The 22,493-nt window shown below is 38.8% G+C and overlaps 1 protein-coding gene across 4 annotated transcripts in view; it reads right to left on the minus strand.

Moving 5' to 3' along the window:
• The window catches only part of CYSLTR1 (cysteinyl leukotriene receptor 1), a 56,144-nt gene continuing 51,873 nt past the window's right edge, over positions 18,223-22,493 (minus strand). For all 4 annotated transcript variants that reach the window (NM_001282186.2, NM_006639.4, NM_001282187.2 and 1 more), the window contains one exon: positions 18,223-20,528. In NM_001282186.2, the coding sequence (NP_001269115.1) occupies positions 19,488-20,501 (1,014 nt within the window). In that variant the 5' untranslated portion in view covers positions 20,502-20,528 and the 3' untranslated portion in view covers positions 18,223-19,487. The remainder of the gene's footprint in view (positions 20,529-22,493) is intronic.

A 22,493-nucleotide genomic window follows, 5' to 3' on the forward strand; every position in this document is an offset into this window, starting at 1 on the left:
GTATTATTTAGAAAATTTTTGCCCAGACCAATGTCCTGGAGAGTTTCCCTAATGTTTTCATATAGTAGTTTCATGGTTTGAACTCTTAGATTTAAATCTTCCATCCATTTTGATTTGATTTTTGTATATGGTGTGAGATAGGGGTCACGTTTCATTCTTCTGCATGTGGATATCCATTTTTCCAAGCACAATTTGTTGAAGAAACTGTCTTTTCCCCAGTGTATTTTCTTGGAAACTTTGGCAAAAATGAGTTTATTGTATTTATGTGGATTTGCTTTTGAGTTCTTTATTCTGTTTCATTGGTCTATGTGTCTGTTTTTATGCCAGTACCATGCTGTTTTGGTTACTATAGCTCTGTAGTATAATTTGAAGTGAGGTAATGTGATTGCTCCAGTTTTTTTCTTTCTGCTAGGAATAACTTTGGCTATTCTGGGTCTTTTGTGGTTCTATATAAATGTTAGGATCTTCTTTTCTATTTCTGTGAAGAATGTCTTTGGTTTTTTGGTAGGATTTGCATTGAATATGTAGACTGCTTTGGGTAGTGTGGACATTTTGACAATGTTGATTCTTCCAATCCATGAACATGGAACATTTTTCACTTACATATGTTTGTTTAGTTTCCAAAATTCATCTTGTTATTCATTTGTAGATTTATTACATTGTGGCCAGAGAAGATACTTGAAATTATTTCGAGTTTTTTGAATGATTTAAGAATTGTTTTGAGACCTAACGTATGGCCTATCCTTGAGAACGATTTATGTGCTGAGGAGAAGAATGTTTATTTTCCAGCCTTTGGATAAAATGTTCTGTAAATTTCTATTAGGTCCATATGTATTATAGCATCAATTAAATCTGATGTTTCTTTGTTGATATTTTTGTCTGGAAGAGCTGTCTAATGCTGAAATGAGGTGTTGAGTTGAAGTGTCCACCTATTATTGTATTGGACACTCTCTCTTTTTCTATAATAATATTTGCTTTATATATTTGGGTATTTTATGGTTGAGTATGTATGTATTTAAACTTGTTATATACTCTTGCTGAACTGACCCCTTTATCATTATATAGTGACCTTCTTTGTCTCTTCTTATAGTTTTTTTCTTGAAATATATTTTATGTGATATAAGTATAGTAACTCCTGCTCTTTCTTGGTATCCACTGGCATGGAATATATTTTTCCATCCCTTTATTTTTAGTCTAAGTTTGTCTTTATAGGTGAAGTGTGTTTCTTGTAGGCAACAGTCTATTGGGTCTTATTTTTTATTCATTCAGCCAGTCTATGTCTTTTGATGGGAGAGTTTAGTACATTTAAATTCAATGGTATTATTGATAAGTAAGGACTTACTCCTGCCATTTTGTTATTTCTTCACCTCCTTCTTTCCTTTCTTCCTGGCTTTCTTTTAGTGAAGGTGATTTTCTCTGGTGGTACAATTTAATTTCTTACTTTTGATTTTTTGTATCTGTTGTATATTTTTAAATTTGAGGTTACTATGAGACTTGCAATTACTATCCTGTAGCCCATTATTTTAAACTGATGACAATTTAACACCGATTTTATAAACAAACACTTAAAAAGAAAACAAAAGCTCTAAGCTTTAACTATCTTTCACTACTTTTTAACTTTTTGTTTTTTTCTCTTCATGTCTTTTTTTAACTATATATGTTTTGAACAGTTGTTGAAGCTACTATGTTTGATTGGTTCACCATTTAGTCTTTCTACTTAAGAAAAGTGTACACACCACAATTACTGTTATACTTTTCTGTTTTTTTTCCCGTGTGCTTATTATTGCAAGTAGTTTTCTACCTTCATGTGATATCTTCTTGCTCATTAACATCCTTTTCCTTCAGATTGAAGAAATCTTTTAGTATTTCTTATAGGATAGGTCTGGTGTTGATAAAATCTCTCAGCTTTTGTTTGTCTGGAAAATCTCTATTTCTTCATGCTTAAGAGATATCTTTGCTGGCTGTACTATTCTAGGGTAATGATTTTTTTTCTTCTAGCACTTTTAAATAATTCACACCACTCTCTCCTGACCTATAAGGTTTCCAGCAAAAAGTCTGTTACTAGACCTATTGGAGCTCCATTGTGTGTTGTTTGTTACTTATGTGTTGCTGCTTTTAGGAACCTTTTGTTGTCCTTGACCTTTGGGAGTTTGATTTAAGTGCCTTGAGGTAATCTTCTTTTGGTTAAACCTGCTTGGTATTCTATAACCTTCTTGTACATAAATGTTGCTATCGTTCTCTATGTTTGTGAAGTTACCTGATTTTTTTTTAATAAACTTTCTATCCATATCTCTTTCTCTACCTCCTCTTTAAGGCCAGTAACTCTTAGGTTTGCTTTTTAAAGGCTATTTTATAGATCCTGTAGGCATGCTTCATTTTTTAATGCTTTTTTCTTTGTCTCCTCTGTTTATTTTTGAATAGCCTGTATTCAAGCTTTCTAATTCTTTCTTCTGCTTGGTCATTTCTGCTGTTAAAAAACTCTGATGCAGTCTTCACTAAGCTAATTGCATTTTGAATTCTATCTGAAAGGTACCATATCTCTGTTTCTCCAGGATTGGTCCCAGGATTTCGACCTGTTTTTGTGCCTTATTTATTTCATTTGGTGAGGTCATATTTTCCTGGATGGTGTTGGTGCTAGTAGATGTTTTTCAGTGTCTGGGCACTGAAGAGTTAGGTATTTATTTTAATTTTTATTGTGTGAGCTTATTTGTAGCTGTTCTTCTTGTGAATGCTTTCTAGATATTAGAAAGAACTTATGTGTTATCGAAGATATATCTGCTTTAAGGAGCACTCGCAGCCTAGTAATGCTGTGTTTCTTGCGGAATCATAGAGGTACTGCCTTGTTGTTCTTGGATAAGATTTCAGAGAATTCTCTGGATTACCAGGCAGAGACTGTTGTTTCCTTCCCTTACTTTCTCCCAAACAGTCTCCCTCTCTGTTCTAAGTCATGTAATGTTTGGGGTGAAGTGACACAAAACCCCCTGTGGCCACCACCACTATGACTGCTCTGGGTCAGACCTGAAGCTAGCACAGCACTGGGTCTCACCCAAGACCTGCTGTAACCACTCCCTCATTATTGCCTATGTTCACTTGATGCCCTGGGGCTCTAAAATCAGCAGGTAGCAAAGCCAGCCAGGCCTATGTCTTTACCTTCAGGTTGGAGAGGACCCCCAGGCCCTGGGTGGGTCCAGGAGTGCCATCTGGGAGGGAGTCAGGGACTAGTGTAAAAATCCTTAGCAGTTTACATGGTATTTTACTGTGTAGTGGCTGAACTGGCACTCAAACTACAAGTTGCAGTTCTTCTCACTCTTCTCTCACCTTTCCAAAGGCAGAGAAGTTACACCCTGTGACTACCACCAACTCTTGTCACGAGGAATACTACCAGACTACCACTGATGTTTCCTTAAGCCTCAAGGTCTCTTGGTCAGCTTGTGGTGAATGCTGCCTTACCTAGGACTCACCCTTCGGGGCAGTGGATTCCCGTCTGGCCCAGGGCAAGTCCAGAAATGCCATCCAAGACTCATGTCCTGAAAATGGGGATCCCTAAGAGCCTGCTTGGTGCTTTACCACACCCTGTGGTATTGTTGGTAACTAATGTGCAAGACTAAGTTCCCTTAACTTTTCCCTCTGCTTTTCTCAAGCAGGAGGAGTTTTGTCCCATAGCCACTACAGCTGGTAATGTGCTGAGTCTCACCTGAAGCCAACAAGTCTCAGAGGCTCACACAAGGCCCTGGATGTAGCACCTTGGTATTGCTGCTGATTATTCAGGGCCCCAGAAATCTTCAGTTAGCAGGTGATAAATGCTGGCAGGACTGAGTTTTTTCCTTCAAGGCACCAGGTTCTCTTCTGGTTCAGGGTGTGTCTAGAAATGTCATCTGGGAGCTAGGGCCTGGAACGATGGTCTCATGACTCTGACCAGAGCCCTATCCTGCTGTGGCTGAGCTGGTATCCAAGATACAAAAGAAAGTCATCCCCACTTTTCTGTCTCTTTTCCTTAAGCGGAAAGAGGGGATATTTTCTTGAGCTGGGAGCTGTGCAGCCTGGGGTTAGGGAAGGGGTGATGCCAGCACACCGTTGGCTGCTCCAGCCGGTCTTTCGGTATGTCATGTGCCCTCCCAGTCCACTGTTTCTGGGCCTAGTTCAGGCCTAGGACTCACCTAAGAGTTGCAGTCCTTGTGGCCTAGATTGCCTTTCAGGTTTACTTAGGGAACAAGTAAACTTTGTTTACTTTGTTTTGGCCCTCGGTGGCGAGGTTTTCAGGCATAACTCAAGTTTGGACCATTGGGATAAGGGATTTTCCTTTGCCTAGGGCTGGTTTAAATGCCTCCTCTGTGGGTGGGCATCAGCTGAGCTGGATCTGCTTTTTCTTTCTGCTCTAACAGGAGGGCACCGAGTTCAATGCCTCACAATTACTGTGTTCTCCCTCCCCCAGTGCCCAGAGATGCTTTCAGCACCTCTGGGGTGGGGATGGGGTGGTGTCAGCAATTCAGGTTTGTTTTTTCTATTTCTTCAGTGCCCCTTCCAGCAATATGACGTTTAAACAAGGTCCTATGAGTGCTTATCTGATTTTTGGTTCTTATGCAGGTGTTTTTTTTTTTTTTTTTTTCTGTGTGGTGTCCTTCTGGGCGGCACGATTGATGGAGCTGTCTATTCTGTCATCTTGCTCTGTCTCTCTAATTTTACTTACTTTTCAAGAACCAGTTCTTTTAAAAATATCTTTTCAACTTTTATTTTAAGTTCAGGGGGTACATGTGCAGGCTGTTACATGGCTATATTTTGTGACACTGAGGTTTGGGTTAAAAATGATCCTGTCACCCACGAAGTGAGCATAGGATGCAATAGGTAGTTTCTTAGCCCTTTTTCTGCTTTCTCTTCTTCCATTAGTAGTCCCTGGTGTATATTGCTGCCATCTTTATGTCCATATGTACCCAATGTTTAGCTCCCACTTATAAGTGAGAGCATGTGATATTTGGTTTTCCATTCCTCTGTTAATTTGGTTAGGATTATGGCCTTCAGCTGCATCTATGTTGCTTCAAAGGACACAATTTTATCCTTTTATATGGCCACATAGTATTCCGTGGTGTATATATACGCCACATTTTCTTTATCCAACTTACTATTGATGGGCCCCTAGGTTAATTCCAGGTATTTGCTATTGTGAATAGTGCTGCAATGAACATATGAAGACATGTGTCTTGTTTAGAGAACAATTTATTTTTCTTTGGGTGTCTACCCAGTAATGGGATTACTGTGTCAAATGGTAATTCTGTTTAATATTCATTGAGAAATCTCTAAACTGCTCCCTACACTGGTTGAACTAATTCACATTCCCACCAACAGTTTATGAGTTTACAAGCATTCCCTTTTCTTTGCAGCCTCACCAGCATCTGTTATTTTTTTTAAATTTTATTATTATTATACTTTAAGTTTTGGGGTACATGTGCACAATGTGCAGGTTAGTTACATATGTATACATGTGCCATGCTGGTGTGCTGCACCCATTAACTCGTCATTTAGCATTAGGTATATCTCCTAAAGCTATCCCTCCCCCCTTCCCCCACCCCACAACAGTCCCCAGAGTGTGATGTTCCCCTTCCTGTGTCCATGAGATCTCATTGTTCAATTCCCACCTATGAGTGAGAATATGCGGTGTTTGGTTTTTTGTTCTTGCAATAGTTTACTGAGAATGATGATTTCCAATTTCATCCATGTCCCTACAAAGGACATGAACTCATCATTTTTTATGGCTGCATAGTATTCCATGGTGTATATGTGCCACATTTTCTTAATCCAGTCTATCATTGTTGGACATTTGTGTTGGTTCCAAGTCTTTGCTATTGTGAATAGTGCCGCAATAAACATACGTGTGCATGTGTCTTTATAGCAGCATGATTTATAGTCCTTTGAGTATATACCCAGTAATGGGATGGCTGGGTCAAATGGTATTTCTAGTTCTAGATCCCTGAGGAATTGCCACACTGACTTCTACAAGGGCTGAACTAGTTTACAGTCCCACCAACAGTGTAAAAGTGTTCCTATTTCTCCACATCCTCTCCAGCACCTGCTGTTTCCTGACTTTTTAATGATTGCCATTCTAACTGGTGTGAGATGCTATCTCATTGTGGTTTTGATTTGCATTTCTCTGATGGCCAGTGATGGTGAGCATTTTTTCATGTGTTTTTTGGCTGCATAAATGTCTTCTTTTGAGAAGTATCTGTTCATGTCCTTCACCCACTTTTTGATGGGGTTGTTTTTTTCTTGTAAATTTGTTTGAGTTCATTGTAGATTCTGGATATTAGCCCTTTGTCAGATGGATAGATTGCAAAAATTTTCTCCCATTTTTAGGTTGCCTGTTCACTCTGATGGTAGTTTCTTTTGCTGTGCAGAAGCTCTTTAGTTTAATTAGATCCCATTTGTCAATTTTTGCTTTTGTTGCCATTGCTTTTGGTGTTTTAGACATGAAGTCCTTGCCCATGCCTATGTCCTGAATGGTAATGCCTAGGTTTTCTTCTAGGGCTTTTATGGTTTTAGGTCTAACATTTAAGTCTTTAATCCATCTTGAATTACTTTTTATATAAGGTGTAAGGAAGGGATGCAGTTTCAGCTTTCTACATATGGCTAGCCAGTTTCCCCAGCACCATTTATTAAATAGGGAATCCTTTCCCCATCGCTTGTTTTTCTCAGGTTTGTCAAAGATCAGATAGTTGTAGATATGTGGTGTTATTTCTGAGGGCTCCATTCTGTTCCATTGATCTATATCTCTGCTTTGGTACCAGTACCATGCTGTTTTGGTTACTGTAGCCTTGTAGTATAGTTTGAAGTCAGGTAGCGTGATGCCTCTAGCTTTGTTCTTTTGGCTTAGGATTGACTTGGTGATGCGGGCTCTTTTTTGGTTCCATATGAACTTTAAAGTAGTTTTTTCCAATTTTGTGAAGAAAGTCATTGGTGGCTTGATGGGGATCGCATTGAATCTATAAATTACCTTGGGCAGTATGGCCATTTTCATGATATTGATTCTTCCTACCCATGAGCATGGAATGTTCTTCCATTTGTTTGTATCCTCTTTTATTTCATTGAGCAGTGGTTTGTAGTTCTCCTTGAAGAGGTCCTTCACGTAGCTTGTAAGTTGGATTCCTAGGTATTTTATTCTCTTTCAAGCCATTGTGAATGGGAGTTCACTCATGATTTGGCTCTCTGTTTGTCTGTTATTGGTGTATAAGAATGCTTGTGATTTTTGCACATTGATTTTGTATCCTGAGATTTTGCTGAAGTTGCCTATCAGCTTAAGGAGATTTTGGGCTGAGACAATGGGGTTTTCTAGATATACAATCATGTCATCTGCAAACAGGGACAATTTGACTTCCTCTTTTCCTAATTGAATACCCTTTATTTCCTTCTCCTGCCTGATTGCCCTGGCCAGAACTTCCAACACTATGTTGAATAGGAGTGGTGAGAGACGGCATCCCTGTCTTGTGCCATTTTCAAAGAGAATGCTTCCAGTTTTTGCCCATTCAGTATGACATTGGCTGTGGGTTTGTCATAGATAGCTCTTATTATTTTGAGATACTTCCCATCAATACCTAATTTATTGAGAGTTTTTAGCATGAAGCATTGTTGAATTTTGTCAGAGACCTTTTCTGCATCTATTGAGATAGTCATATTTTTTTGTCCTTGGTTCTGTTTATATGCTAGATTATGTTGATTGATTTGCGTATGTTGAACCAGCCTTGCATCCCAGGGATGAAGCCCACTTGATCATGGTGAGTAAGCTTTTTGATGTGCTGCTGGATTCGGTTTGCCAGTATTTTGTTGAGGATTTTTGCATCGATGTTCATCAGGTATATTGGTCTAAAATTCTCTTGTTTTGTTGTGTCTCTGCCAGGCTTTGGTATCAGGATGATGCTGGCCTCATAAAATGAGTTAGGGAGGATTCCCTCTTTTTCTATTGATTGGAATAGTTTCAGAAGGAATGGTACCAGCTCCTCTTTGTACCTCTGGTAGAATTTGGCTGTGAATCCGTCTGGTCGTGGACTTTTTTTGGTTGGTAAGCTATTCATTTTTGCCTCAATTTCAGAGCCTGTTATTGATTTATTCAGAGATTCAACTTCTTCCTGGTGTAGTCTTGGGAGGGTGTATGTGTCGAGGAATTTATCAATTTTTTCTAGATTTTCTAGTTTATTTGCATAGAGGTGTTTATAGTATTCTCTGATGGTAGTTTGCATTTCTGTGGGATTGGTGGTGATATCCCCTTTATCATTTTTTATTGCGTCTATTTGATTCTTCTCCCTTTTCTTCTTTATTAGTGTTGCTAGTAGTCTATCAATTTTGTCGGTCTTTTCAAAAAACCAGCTCCTGGATTCATTGATTTTTTGAAGGGTTTTTTGTGTCTCTATTTCCTTCAGTTCTGCTCTGATCTTCATTATTTCTTGCCTTCTGCTAGCTTTTGAATGTGTTTGCTCTTGCTTCTCTAGTTCTTTTAATTGTGATGTTAGGGTGTCAATTTTAGATCTTTCCTGCTTTCTCTTGTGGGCATTTAGTGCTATAAATTTCCCTCCACACACTGCTTTGAATGTGTCCCAGAGATTCTGGTATGTTCTGTCTTTGTTCTCGTTGGTTTCAAAGAACATCTTTTTTCTGCCTTTGTAAATTTTTTTTATCCCCTTATTTTGAGCCTCTGTTTGTCTTTGCATGTAAGATAGGTCTCTTGAAGACACCATATTGATGGATCTTGACTCTGTGTACAGCTTACCCTTCTGTGTCTTTTAATTGGGGCATTTAGCCAATTTACATTTAAGGTTAATATGTTATGTGTGAATTTGATTCCATCATAATGGTTCTAGCTGGTTATTTTGCATGTATATATTTATGTATTTTTTTTTGAGAGGGATTTTTGCTGTTTTGCCCAGGCTGGAGTACAGTGGCATGATATCAGCTCGCTGCAACCTCTGCCTCCCAAGCTCAATCAATTCTTCTGCCTCAGCTTCCCATGTAATTGGGACTGCAGGCATGCACTACCACACCTGGCTAATTTTTTTGTATTTTTAGTAGAGACGGGGTTTCACCATGTTGGTCAGGCTGGTCTTGAACTCCTGACCTCACGTAATCTGCCCACCTCAGCCTCCCAAAGTGCTGGGATTACCAGTGTGAGCCACCACGCCCAGCCTTGCAGACTTGTTGATGTAATTGCTTCATAGTGTCATTGGTCTTTGTACTTCAGTGTGTTTTTGTAGTGGCTGGTAACAATTTTTCCTTTCTATATTTAGTGCTTCCTCCAGGAGTTCTTGCAAGGCAGGCTTAGTGGTGACAAACTCCCTTGGCATTTGCTTGTCTGAAAAAACAAATATTTCTCCTTTGCTTATGAAGCTCAGTTTGGCCAGGTAGGAAATTCTGGTATGGAAATTCTTTTCTTTAAGAATGTTGAATATTTGCCCCCAATCTCTTCTGGCTTGTAGGGTTTCTGCTAAGAGGTCCACTGTTAGTCTGATGGGCTTCTTTTTGTAGGTGACCTAGCCTTTCTCTCTGCCTGCCCTTAGCATTTTTCCTTCATTTTGACCTTGGAGAATCTGATGATTATGAGTCTTTGGATTGATCTTCTCTTGGAGCATCTTACTGGGGTTCTCTGGATTTCCTTGATTTGAATGTTAACCCCTCTAGCTAGGTTGGAGCTCTCCTGGATGTTATCCTGAAGTATGTTTTCCAACTTGATTTTGTTCTTTCTGTCTCTTTCAGGTACCCCAATCAGTCATAGATTCAGTCTTTTTACATAATCCATAGTTCTCAGATGTTTTATTGATTCTTTTTCATTCTGTTTTTTTTTTCTATTCTTGTTTGCCTGTCTTATTTCAGCAAGATAGTCTTCAAGCTCTGAAATTCTTTGTTTGGTCTATTTGGCTATTTATACTTGTATTTGCATTGTGAAGTTCTTGTGTTGTGTTTTTCACCTCCATCAGGTCATTAATGTTCCTTTCTAAACTGTTTATTCTGGTTAACAGCTTGTGTAGTGTTTTATCATGGTTCTTAGCTTCTTTGCATTGGGTTAGATCATGCTCCTTTACCTCAGGGAAGTTCATTATTAGTGGCCTTCTGAAGCCTACTTAAGTCAATTTATCCATCTCAGCCTCTGCCCAGTTCTGTGCCCTTGCTGGGGAGGTGTTGTGATCATTTGCAAGAGAAGATACACTCTGCCTTGTTGAGTTTTCAGTGTTTTTGCGTTGATTCTTTCTCATTTTCATAAGTTTATCTAGCTTCAATCTTTGAGGCTGCTGACTTTCAGATGGGTTTTTTGTGGGGACTTTTTTGTTGATGCTGTTGTTGTTATTGGTTTCTGTTTGTTTTTCTTTTAACAGTCAGGCCCCTCTTCCGTAGGGCTTCTGTGGTTTGCTAGGGGTCCACTCCAGACCCTATTCACCTGGGTCCCTCCTGCACCTGGAGGTGTCACCACTGGAGGCTGCAGATAGCAAAGATTGCAGCCTGCTCCTTCCTCTGGGAGCTCCATCTTAGAGGGGCACCAACCTGATGCCAGTGGGAACACTCCTATGTAAGCTGTCTGACAACCCCTGTTGAGTGGCCTCACCCAGTCAGGAGGCATGTGTTCAAGGTCCTGCTTAATGAAGCACTCTGGCTGTCCATTGGGGGAGGGGGTGCACTGTGCTGGGGAAAAATTCCACTCATTCAGACTGCCTGGATTCCTCAGTGCCAGCAGGGGAAAGACTAACTCTGCTGATCTGTGGAGATGGCGGCCACCCTCCCCTTCGGGGGTCCATTCCAGGGAGATCAGAATTCTGTTCATAATCCCCTCACTGGAGTTGCTGAAATTTCCACAGGGAGGCCCCACCTGGTGAAGAGGGATGGGTCAGGGTCCAGCCTAAAGAGGCAGTTTGGCCACGATCTGCCACAGCTGCTGTGCTGCATCGTGGAGAATTCCTCCTGGGTCCAAACTGCCCCATCTCCCTGGCTCTGGCAGGGGAAAAATGGCAGACTGGAGCTTTAGTGATGGCTGCTGCCTCTTCGCCTGGGAGTTCAGCCCTCTCAGGAAACAGGCAGCTGCAGTGATGGCTGCCGCCCCTCCGTTGAGGAGCTCAGTTGTCTTAGGCAGCAGGCAGCCACAGTGATGGTGGCCAACCCTTCCCATGGGAATTCAATAATCTTAGGCAGTCTCCAGCTGAATGGCTGCTGAGAATCTGCAGAGTTCTGTGCTTGGGACCCAAGACCCTGGTGGCATGGGCTCATGAGGGGGACCTCCTGATCCACGGGTTGCACAGATACATGGAAAAAAGACTGGTTTCCTGGGTGGGGTAGCACAATTGCTCACTGCCTCCCTTGGCTAGGGGTGGGAGCTCCCCTTGCCCCTTGTAGCTCCCAAGTGGGCTGTCGCACCACCCTGCTTTTCCTCATTCTCCATGGGTTGTGCCATCTGCCTAGTTAGTCCCAATGAGAGAACTTGAATACCTCAGTTGCTGGTGCAGGATTCACTTGCTCTTTTCATTCTTCTTAGTGGGAGCCTCTGACCACAGCGGTTTCTAGTTCGCCATCTTGGAAACTCCTGCCCCTTTTAATACCTGATAATTTCCCTTCCTCTGAAGTCTCCTTTTCAGAATTGATATATGTATGTTCTTTCTTTTGATTAGTGCTATCATGGTATATTTTCTCCATTATTTTAATTTTAATCTATCTCTGTCTTTATATTTAAAGTGAGTATTGTGTAGAAAACATAGAGTTGGTCTTTCAAGAAATTCACTCTCACAGTCTCTGTCTTTTAGTTTGTGTATTTAGACTACTATTCACATTTAAGGTGATTATCAATATAGTTGGATTAATAACTACTATATTTATAACTGTTGTCTATTCATTGCCCCAATTCTTTCTTTTCTTTTTTTTTTTTGATCTTTCACTCTTTTTTTCTCCTTTTCTGGTTTTGAGTTCCTGTCATTTTTTTTTTTCCAAGGCAGAAGAATTTTTCTTAGTACAGAACAAAATGAAAAGTCTCCCATGTCTACTTCTTTCCACACAGACACGGCAACCATCTGATTTCTCAATCCGTTCCCCACCTTTCCCCCCTTTCTACTCCACAAAACCACCACCGTCATCATGGCCCGTTCTCCATGAGCTGCTGAGCACACCTCCCAGACGGGGTGGTGGTCGGGCAGAGGGGCTCCTCACTTCCCAGTAGGGGTGGCCGGGCAGAGGCGCCCCTCACCTCCCGGACGGGGTGGCTGGCCGGGCGGGGGGCTGACCCCCCCACCTCCCTCCCGGACGGGGCGGCTGGCCGGGTGGGGGGCTGACCCCCCACCTTCCTCCCGGACAGGGCGGCTGGCCAGGCGGGGCGCTGATCCCCCCACCTCCCTCCTGGACGGGGCGGCTGGCCTGGCGGGGGGCTGACCCCCACCTCCCTCCCGGATGGGGTGGTTGCTGGGCGGAGACGCTCCTCACTTCCCAGACGGGGTGGCTGCCGGGCAGAGGGACTCCTCACTTCTCAGACAGGGTGGTTGTCGGGCAGAGGGTCTCCTCACTTCTCAGACGGGGCGGCTGGGCAGAGGCGCTCCTCACATCCCAGACGGGGTGGTGGGGCAGAGGCGCTCCCCACATCTCAGACGATGGGCGGCCGGGCAGAGATGCTCCTCACTTCCTAGATGGGATGGCGGCTGGGAAGAGGCGCTCCTCACTTCCTAGATGGGATGGCGGCCGGGCAGAGACGCTCCTCACTTTCCAGACTGGGCAGCCAGGCAGAGGGGCTCCTCACATCCCAGACAATGGGTGGCCGGGCAGAGACGCTCCTCACTTCCCAGACGGGGTGGTGGCCGGGCAGAGGCTGCAATCTCGGCACTTTGGGAGGCCAAGGCAGGCGGCTGGGAGGTGGAGGTTGTAGCAAGCAGAGACCATGCCACTGCACTCCAGCCTGGGCACCATTGAGCACTGAGTGAATGAGACTCCGTCTGCAATCCTGGCACCTTGGGAGGCCGAGGCTGGCGGATCACTCGCGGTTAGGAGCTGGAGACCAGCCCGGCCAACACAGCAACACCCTGTCTCCACCAAAAAAATACGAAAACCAGTCAGGCATGGAGGCGTGCGCCTGCAATTGCAGGCACTCGGCAGGCTGAGGCAGGAGAATCAGGCAGGGAGGTTGCAGCGAGCCGAGATGGCAGCAGTACAGTCCAGCCTCAGCTCGGCATCAGAGGGAGACCGTGGAAAGAGAGGGAGAGGGAGACCGTGGGGAGAGGGAGAGGGAGACGGAGAGTGAGAGCGAGTTCCTGTCATTTTTAAGAACAGGTTAAGTAGCCACTTGGCAGAAAGCCCTAGAGGGTAATCAAACAATGTATGGGAGTCCGAACTACACAATCTTTAGGGTCTCTTTCAATTCCCAGATTGTAAGATTCTTAATTAGTCAAATTATTCAACAGTTATATGGAGACACAGTCAAGGTGATTATAGTATCTACTTTTTTTTATAGTGTCTACTTTTAAAGTACCATAACCATATTTGCAATATTGAGGAATAGCTTAATAAACAAGACTTTGAGGTTGCAGTATTTCTCTATCCCAGAGTTGAGGCTTCCAATGCATTCATATTAGAAACTTCTATCTTTTGTCAATTTATGTTTTCAGGGATGGTTTGGAGCTGAGAGGAAAGGGTATGGGGTTTGGGCTACAGGGAAACTAGCTCGTCTTGCCCAAACTCACCAGAAAAGAATCTGTACCAGAAAACCAGTTGAATAATATATAGTAAAAAGTGAAATAACGAAGCAGATGATATTCTAATCAACTAGTCAATATTTTGTCTTTCTGGCAAGTAAGCAAAAAAATGGATATTCTAAAGTTTATTGATAAATAATGCACTTGACAAGAGAAAAGACTGTACAAACTAACCAGATCTCCTGTCATCCATTTGGGCACTCCCTTGAGTGCCCCTGTACATATATTGTCCTAATATCACCTCAACTGCCTCTTTCAAACATTCCATGGTGCTTCCTGGGATTTTATAATGATATGAACACTCACCTTAAGGGTCCCTAATTATTTTAGCCTTGAGAAAGGCCCAATTTCTCTGTTAATACACTAGCTTATCACTCCCTTGAATCAAGGAATTTTAGGCTTCTTCCAATATTCTGACAATATTAGAATATAGATTGTCAACAGGACCTTCCCAAAACAGGGGAAGAAAGGGTTCATTCAAGATGCCAGTTATGCTGAGTACTAAATATGGCATAGTGGGAAAAGACACAGAGTCAGAAATCAAGCCCTGCAGGACTATAGGATCTGATTTGCAATGATTTTATAATTAGACTTAAATTCAAAACCTGATATACATGAAAAGTTGTTGGTGCTGTTTTAGTGACAAAAACTCCTGTGGAGCGAATAAAGAGCTAAATCTTAGCTGAGCTACTATAACTTTTATCCAGTAAAAGGGAAAACTATTTGGAAGAGTAAAAGGGGATAAATTTTCTTGGTTTCTTGTCAGTTGTTTGAACTTTTTTTTAAAAGGGAAACTAGAATTAGGTAGTAATTTGAATTATTCTTTGCCAAGTTCCAGAAAGAATAATCTGGTTTTTAATGGGATGTAAAACATTATTTTTCATTCTTTAATTTTCATAACTGTCTGGGTCTTCAAGAGATCATTACACTTTCAAGTTAGGAAGGTGAAAAAACACCAAACCAAAAGCAGTTATGGGTATTCAGAAACGAATATGCTACTTTTTATTTACCCAGAGTGCAATGCAATGAGGCAAGGGCATAGTTTTACTTTGTTTTGCCATTTGGATAGCCAGTAAATAACTTTGTGCACCAAAAGGACAGTTTTCCATAAGGATAATTTAATTGGGTTAAAGTTCTAAGATAGTGCTAGTGACATGCAAAAGATTTCTTAGATCAAGTGACTAGCTATCAAGAGACACTGTAAGGGTCAGCTTCTTGGGGATACAAATTTAAATGTCATTTGAGCCAGTGTACCATGTAAATCTGTTTGATAAACTTTAAGTTATGCCTTTGTAATTTAGAAAAGAAATATATTTTTGTGATTTAGCAGAGTTACCATGGAGGGGATTATGTGAAGGGATTACATATAGTGCAGAGAAAAGGGAACTAATAAGCAGATGAATGAGGAGTTAGAAGTTGTCTTGTGATTTATCTGGAGTAACAGAGCTCTTGGTGGATCAAAGAAAATGTTTTGGATTTGGTTCTCAGAAACATTTTGCTATTTTAATATCAGGCAAAGCCAATCTAACCTGGGTTGTACATATGAGGTAGAATGTGATAAATGAGCTTCTTTTCCTACCTTCTGTGCAGTAGTGCTTACCAAAAAGAGCCCACAAATTTACATTGCTGAGATCTAATCTCACCTTTCAAGCTTCCAAATTTCTACCTTTGGAGTCACTAAAGTGTTAGTAAGAAGTAGATATTGAAATATATATATACATATATTTAATTATCTTAAAAGGACAATTAAAATGCAAAATTATGTCACTAAGGTGAAAGGCTAGGAGGTTATGACAACCAAGAAAACCAAAGTTTACAGTTAAGATGAGTACACAGAACTATTTATGTTTATTTTGTAGGTGAAAATGCAGAGTATTCTTTCAAGATTTGAAATAGTTTTTGATATACATAAACCATATTGGCTGAGGAAAATAAAAAACTAAGTATATAATGAGAGTTTAGATAGCTGATAATATTTAAAAGGACCATTTACAACCAAAAGAATGACTGTGAAGGCCATTAGGAATCACAAATGTGAAGCTCCTTCTAATGTCAATGTTCTAGGATATAATATATATAAATATATAATGTATATAATATATAAATATATAATGTATATAATATATAATATATAATATATATTATATATTATATATATTATATAATATATATAATATATTATATATTATATATAATATATATAATATATAATATATATGATATATTATATATAATATATATAATATATAATATATATGATATATTATATATAATATATATAATATATCAATATATAATGTATATTATATAAATATATATTATATATTTAATATAAATATATAAAATATATTCATGTAATATATATCGATATATTATATAGAATATATAAAATATATATATTCTATATAATATATAGAATATATATATTATATATCATATATATAGAATATATATTATATATATATAGAATATATATTATATATAATATATATAAATATGGAATATATATATTATATATAATATATATTCTATATAATATATATAAATATAGAATATATATTATATATAATATATATAAATATAGGATATATATTATATATCATATATATATAGAATATATATTATAAATAATATATATAAATATAGAACATATATTATATATAATATATATAAAATTATATATATTATATATATATATATTTTTTGAGACAGAGCTTTGCTCTGTCACCTAGGCTGGAGTGCAGTGGCACGATCTTGGCTCACTGCAACCTCTACTTCCTGGGTTCAAGCAATTCTCCTGCCTCAGCCTCCCTAGTAGCTGGAATTGCAGGTGCGTGCCACCACGCCTAGCTAATTTTTGTATTTTTAGTAGAGATGCGGTTTTCACCATGTTGGCCAGGCTGGTCTCGAACTCCTGACCTCGTGATCTGCCTGCCTTGGTCTCCCAAAATGGTGGAATTACAGGCATAAGCCACTGAGCCTGGCCAGGATATAATATTCTTAATGTGTTCTTCCAACTAAAATAATAGGCTTTAGGTCATGGTTCATGTGTTTATATAATTAAAAGATATAAGCATGTAGTTTAATTAAACCTAGTTTTTAAAATAAATGAATAAGTCATTTAAACATCATTAAAAAATAAACTTTAATTTTCTATATTTCTCTTTCTCTCTGTATTTGTATATCTTTTACTGTGGTAAGAGCACCTTACATGAAATATATCCTCTTAACAAACTTTTAAATATACAATATTGTATTGTTAACTGTAGGCATAATGTTGAAAAACAGATCTGTAGAACCTATTTGTCTCCCACAGCTGAAGCTTTTTGCCTGAAAATGGTCCCGCAGGATATTATAGCAAATTAAGTACATGGGTTGTGAAATCAGACTGCCTGGGTTTGAACCTTGGTTCTGGTGCTTACTAGCTGACTGACTGAGCAAGTTCCATGACCTCACCTCAGTTTTTAATTCAGCAAAGCAGGCATAATAATGGTACATACCTTGCAGGGCAGTTGTAAGCATAAAATTCATTGATATGGGTAAAACACTTAAAATAGAATATAGTATATAATTAGAGTTTATTAAATGTTAGATACTACCACTTAAATACATAATTTTCAACCTCAAGGAATTTATAATTCCACAAAGTGATAACTCCACTTTGGGAGACAATATTAACATGTGGAAAAATTGGTGAAAACATTAAGTACTATGCAGTGTGGTAGAGACTATAAGTACATAAGACATGAAAAAAAGCAAATTTATGATGGGCTTGCAAGTAATTGAAGGTTTTATGGTATGTTGCTGTGTGGGAGGAAGTGGGACTATGACTGGAAATGATAACATAGGCAAAAGCCTGGAAGAAATAAATAACCCACAAGATTCTTTGATGTGGAGTAGGATTTAACTATGGCTATTTTTGTTCAAATTCTTTCAAATCTGAGAATCCATGTAGTAAATATGACTCAGTAATTTTAAGTAACAGAACTACCTCTAAATACTTAAACATTATATCTTGTTATATGTTTTTAAAAACTTTAACATTCCTGATCTCATTTGAGTTTTACAAATGCCCTATAAAAAATGCAGGATAAGTATTATTATTACCATTTTACAAATAAGGAAGCTGAGGATTAGAGTTTATGTCATTTGCTTAAAGTTACATAACTGTAAGCAATAGAGACCAGGTTAGCATCCAGGTCTTCTGGATTCCAATCTAGTGCTCTTCTACCATACTATGCTGCTTGCTGGATAGCAGAAGGCCCAGTAAATGAGAAATGAGGATTGAATTTTGTGATAAATATTATGTTTGATCTTTGTCTCCAGCAAGGGAAAAATAGTATAGGGTAAGAGCATAGAAACGGCCAGGTCACAGGTATATTAAAAATAAATGGGCACAAGCTATTACTATGCCTTAGAGGTCCTTTCCATTTATGTTTTGTAATTTTTTTCCCCAAGGGACTACAACATTAGAAATGAAATAGAAATAATGTACACATGGCAGATTCAGATAGAAAATTTTCCCAAAGCTTTCTTTTTTCTTTATAGTTATTTATTTCTTCTGAGGTAAGTTACTTTTTAAAAAACAAACTTAAAGGACACACTACACTTCAGCAAAAGCTTGTCCACGCATATTATATTTCAGCCGTAGATGAGTTGTTGTGGCTGTTTTAAGATCAAAGCGTCCACTGTAATATAAAAGTCACTGTAAACATATCCATGATATTCCTGTCAACATACCAATAAAAAGTAATAAAGCAATAATAAAACTTATCGTGAACTTTCACCCATAATGCATATCATACAGCAAAATCTCTTACATATAGTTGTATACATATACATAAATGTATGCACTTCTTAAAAGAATTTGTAATGTGAACATTCACAATTTTCTTCATAAATCCTTTGTAGTTTATTTTGATCCCAGCAATTGGCATATAGAAAAGTAGATTCCTTTTCCTTTTCTCTTCTTCAGATAAGTTTTTAATTACTTCTATTTATATATAGGAGTGCCAGTTGTCTGGCTTCTTAAGGAAGAATTATATGTCATGGATGGAGAGAAATCTCTACAGGAACCTCACTGAGCAGCTAAAACTCCACTATTCAATTTTGGGAGCCTGAGGCAAAGGCAGAAGAAAACTGGAGACAAACTGGCTTTTGACCAGATTTCTCCTGTTGCCATATTGAACATTGTATGGTGCTTTTAGGACCCTTTAGCTGAATACTAGTCTGTTCTAGCACTTTTACATTCTCTTTTGGAAGAAATGGCCCTAATTTGCCTAGCGAATCAGTACTACAAAGAAGGGTGACAGTACGTTTTATGTAGCTCCTGAGTCATCTCCAGTTCTCATCTGATGGCATGCATGCAAAGGAATATGTTAGAATGATTCAGAACTATTTGCCAATTTTATATCTAGTTTTATATTTTATAACTTTTAGCTTGCATGTATTTTTATTGACTAATTTTATATATTTTATCGTTTGTAAAGCTTTTATTTGAAGAGGAAAACTTTAATATAAGACATATTTTATAGTGCAAAGATAAAAATATTCTCCAAATTCTGGTGAGTGGTCAAAATTATTTATAATTCAGTTCATAGTTGTGGACCGAATTTTTAGCACTTAAAATATCTATAAATATCTAATCATGTGGATGCATAAATGAGATAGAGTTGTAGGCCCAAATAGTTAAGTATTTGTAAAATATTAAGTAAAATTTTTATTTTTTTTGTAAATGATTTGACAAAATACTTATTTGGGAAACTATTTTCATTGGTTTGGACTGGAAATGGGTTTAAACTATACTTTACATATTTCTTCTCCTTTTTCTGGCAAAGAGGCCTTCTTTCTGGGTACATAAGTCACGCTGGACAAAGAATGCTTTCTGAATGTAGACAGCCTTTTCCTAAAGTTACCCCCAGAAAAGAAATATAGGAGAGGGTCAAAGCAACAATTGGATGCAGCCAGAGACAAGGTTATGACCACGGACTTCTGCATTCTAAGGACAGAATCACAGGGTTTAGTTTCATTGTGTAAAAAATGAAGGTGAATGGTACGTTGAATATGATATGGCATGAAACTGACTAAAAAGGCAGCGGTCACGACCATGATCATTCCTATAGCCTTTTTATGACTTGACAGATTTTTTTTCATTGATTTTTTTAGTAAGGTCAAAATGATCATTGTGTAACAGACAATTATAATAACAAAAGGGATGATAAAGCCAACAAACAATGACACATAATGCAAGACCAAAACATGATTTTTAGTTTGATTGTCTTGTGGGGGCTCAAAGCACTTGGTATTATTTTTCTCATCTTTTTGTGGTTTGGCCATTAGAAATGGAGAACTGGTCAAAATCACAAAAATCCAAATACCTACACACACAAACCTGGCTTTTTTCTGTGTAACCAAATTAATGTTCTGGACTGGAAAAACAATTGCAATGCACCGGAAAAAGCTCATGGCTGTCATAAAGAAGATGCTACAATAGAGGTTGACATACAAAGCATAGGTGCTGAGGCGGCACAAGAAGTCACCAAAGAGCCAAATGCCTTTGTGAACATAATAGACCACACGGAGAGGCAGTGTGCACACACAAAGTAGATCTGCTACTGCTAAATTAATCATGTATACTTGGAAGGCTGACTTCTTGTGATAGGTTTTTATGAGGACATAGAGCACAAAGCCATTGCCAAAGAAGCCTACAACAGAGATCATAGAGTACAAGGTGGAATACACTTGATTGCGGAAGTCATCAATAGTGTCATGGCATGTGGCAGAAGATACTGTCAGATTTCCTGTTTCATCCATGTTTCTCTACGAATGTCTGCTTTGTGCCTATAATAAATAAAAAAAATTGTCAATTTTAACTAGACCATAAATTACAGGAAGTACTAATGTTTTATTTCATAGTGTCACTATGTATACTTTTTGACCACAGCAGCAAGCAAGAGTAGTGAGGCATTGAGGAGGGATTCAGCTGTACCTTATCCTCCGGAGAAGAGTCCGTATCCTACAGGTATCCAGAAAACTTTTTTTTTGTCCTTTCCCACCCATGTTTTTCTGATGGACTTCCTCTAAATCTTCAAGACCTAGGTGAAACAGCCCTCCTGTATTTTAAATCATACTACTGTAGTACAATTCGGTAGGTTTTCCTTTCAAATGAACTTGTTTTTCTATTAGAGAAAAGCTTTAAGAAGCAGTTTCACATGTATGAATATATCTATATTTATACCTATTTATTGGAAAATCTCTGAATTGTTTTAGATAATAAAATCTGGATGAAAATCCTTGGCTCCCAAAAAGAGCCCACATCGCCAAATCAATCCTAAGCCAAAAGAACAAAGCTGGAGGCATCACGCTACCTGACTTCAAACTATACTACAAGGCTACAGTAACCAAAACAGCATGGTACTGGTACCAAAACACTGGTACCAAAACAGAGATATAGACCAATGGAACAGAACAGAGCCCTCAGAAATAATACCACACATCTACAACCATCTGATTTTTGACAAACCTGACAAAAGCAAGAAATGGGGAAAGGATTCCCTATTTAATAAATGGTGCTGGGAAAACTGGCTAGCCATATGTAGATAGCTGAAACTGGATCCCTTCCTTACACCTTATATAAAAAGTAATTCAAGATGGATTAAAGACTTAAATATTAGACCTAAAACCATAAAAACCCTAGAAGAAAACCTAGGCATTACCATTCAGGACATAGGCATGGGCAAGGACTTCATGTCTAAAACACCAAAAGCAATGACAACAAAAGCCAAAATTGACAAATGGGATCTAATTAACTAAAGAGCTTCTGCACAGCAAAAGAAACTACCATCAGAGTGAACAGGCAACCTACAGAATGGGAGAAAATTTTTGCAATCTACTCATCTGACAAAGGGCTAATATCCAGAATCTACAATGAACTCAAACAAATGTACAAGAAAAAAACAAACAACCCCATCAAAAAGTGGGCAAAGGATATGAACAGACAGTTCTCAAAAGAAGACATTTATGCAGCCAACAGACACATGAAAAAATGCTCATCATCACTGGCCATCAGAGAAATGCAAATCAAAACCACAATGAGATACCATCTCACACCAGTTAGAATGGCAATCATTAAAAAGTCAGGAAACAACAGGTGCTGGAGAGGATGTGGAGAAATAGGAACACTTTTGCACTGTTGGTGGGACTGTAAACTAGTTCAACCATTGTGGAAGACAGTGTGGCGATTCCTCAAGGATCTAGAACTAGAAATATCATTTGACCAAGCCATCCCATTACTGGGTATATACCCAAAGGATTATAAATCATGCTGCTATAAAGACACATGCACATGTATGTTTATTGCGGCACTATTCACAATAGCAAAGACTTGGAACCAAACCAAATGTCCAACAATGATAGACTGGATTAAGAAAATGTGGCATATATATACCATGGAATACTATGCAGCCATAAAAAATGATGAGTTCATGTCCTTTGTAGGGACGTGGATGAAACTGGAAATCATCATTCTCAGTAAACTATTGCAACTGGAACAAAAACCAAACACCGCATGTTCTCACTCATAGGTGGGAATTGAACAATGAGAACACATGGACACAGGAAGGGAAACATCACACACCGGGGCCTGTCATGGGGTGAGGGGAGGGGGGAGGGATAGCATTAGGAGATACACCTAAGGTAAATGATGAGTTAATGGGTGCAGCACACCAACATGGCACATGTATACATATGTAACAAACTTGCACGTTGTGCACATGTACCCTAGAACTTAAAGTATAATAATAATAA

The sequence above is a fragment of the Homo sapiens genome, chromosome X (assembly GCF_000001405.40).
Source record: "Homo sapiens chromosome X, GRCh38.p14 Primary Assembly".
Classification (NCBI taxonomy): Eukaryota; Metazoa; Chordata; class Mammalia; order Primates; family Hominidae; genus Homo; species Homo sapiens.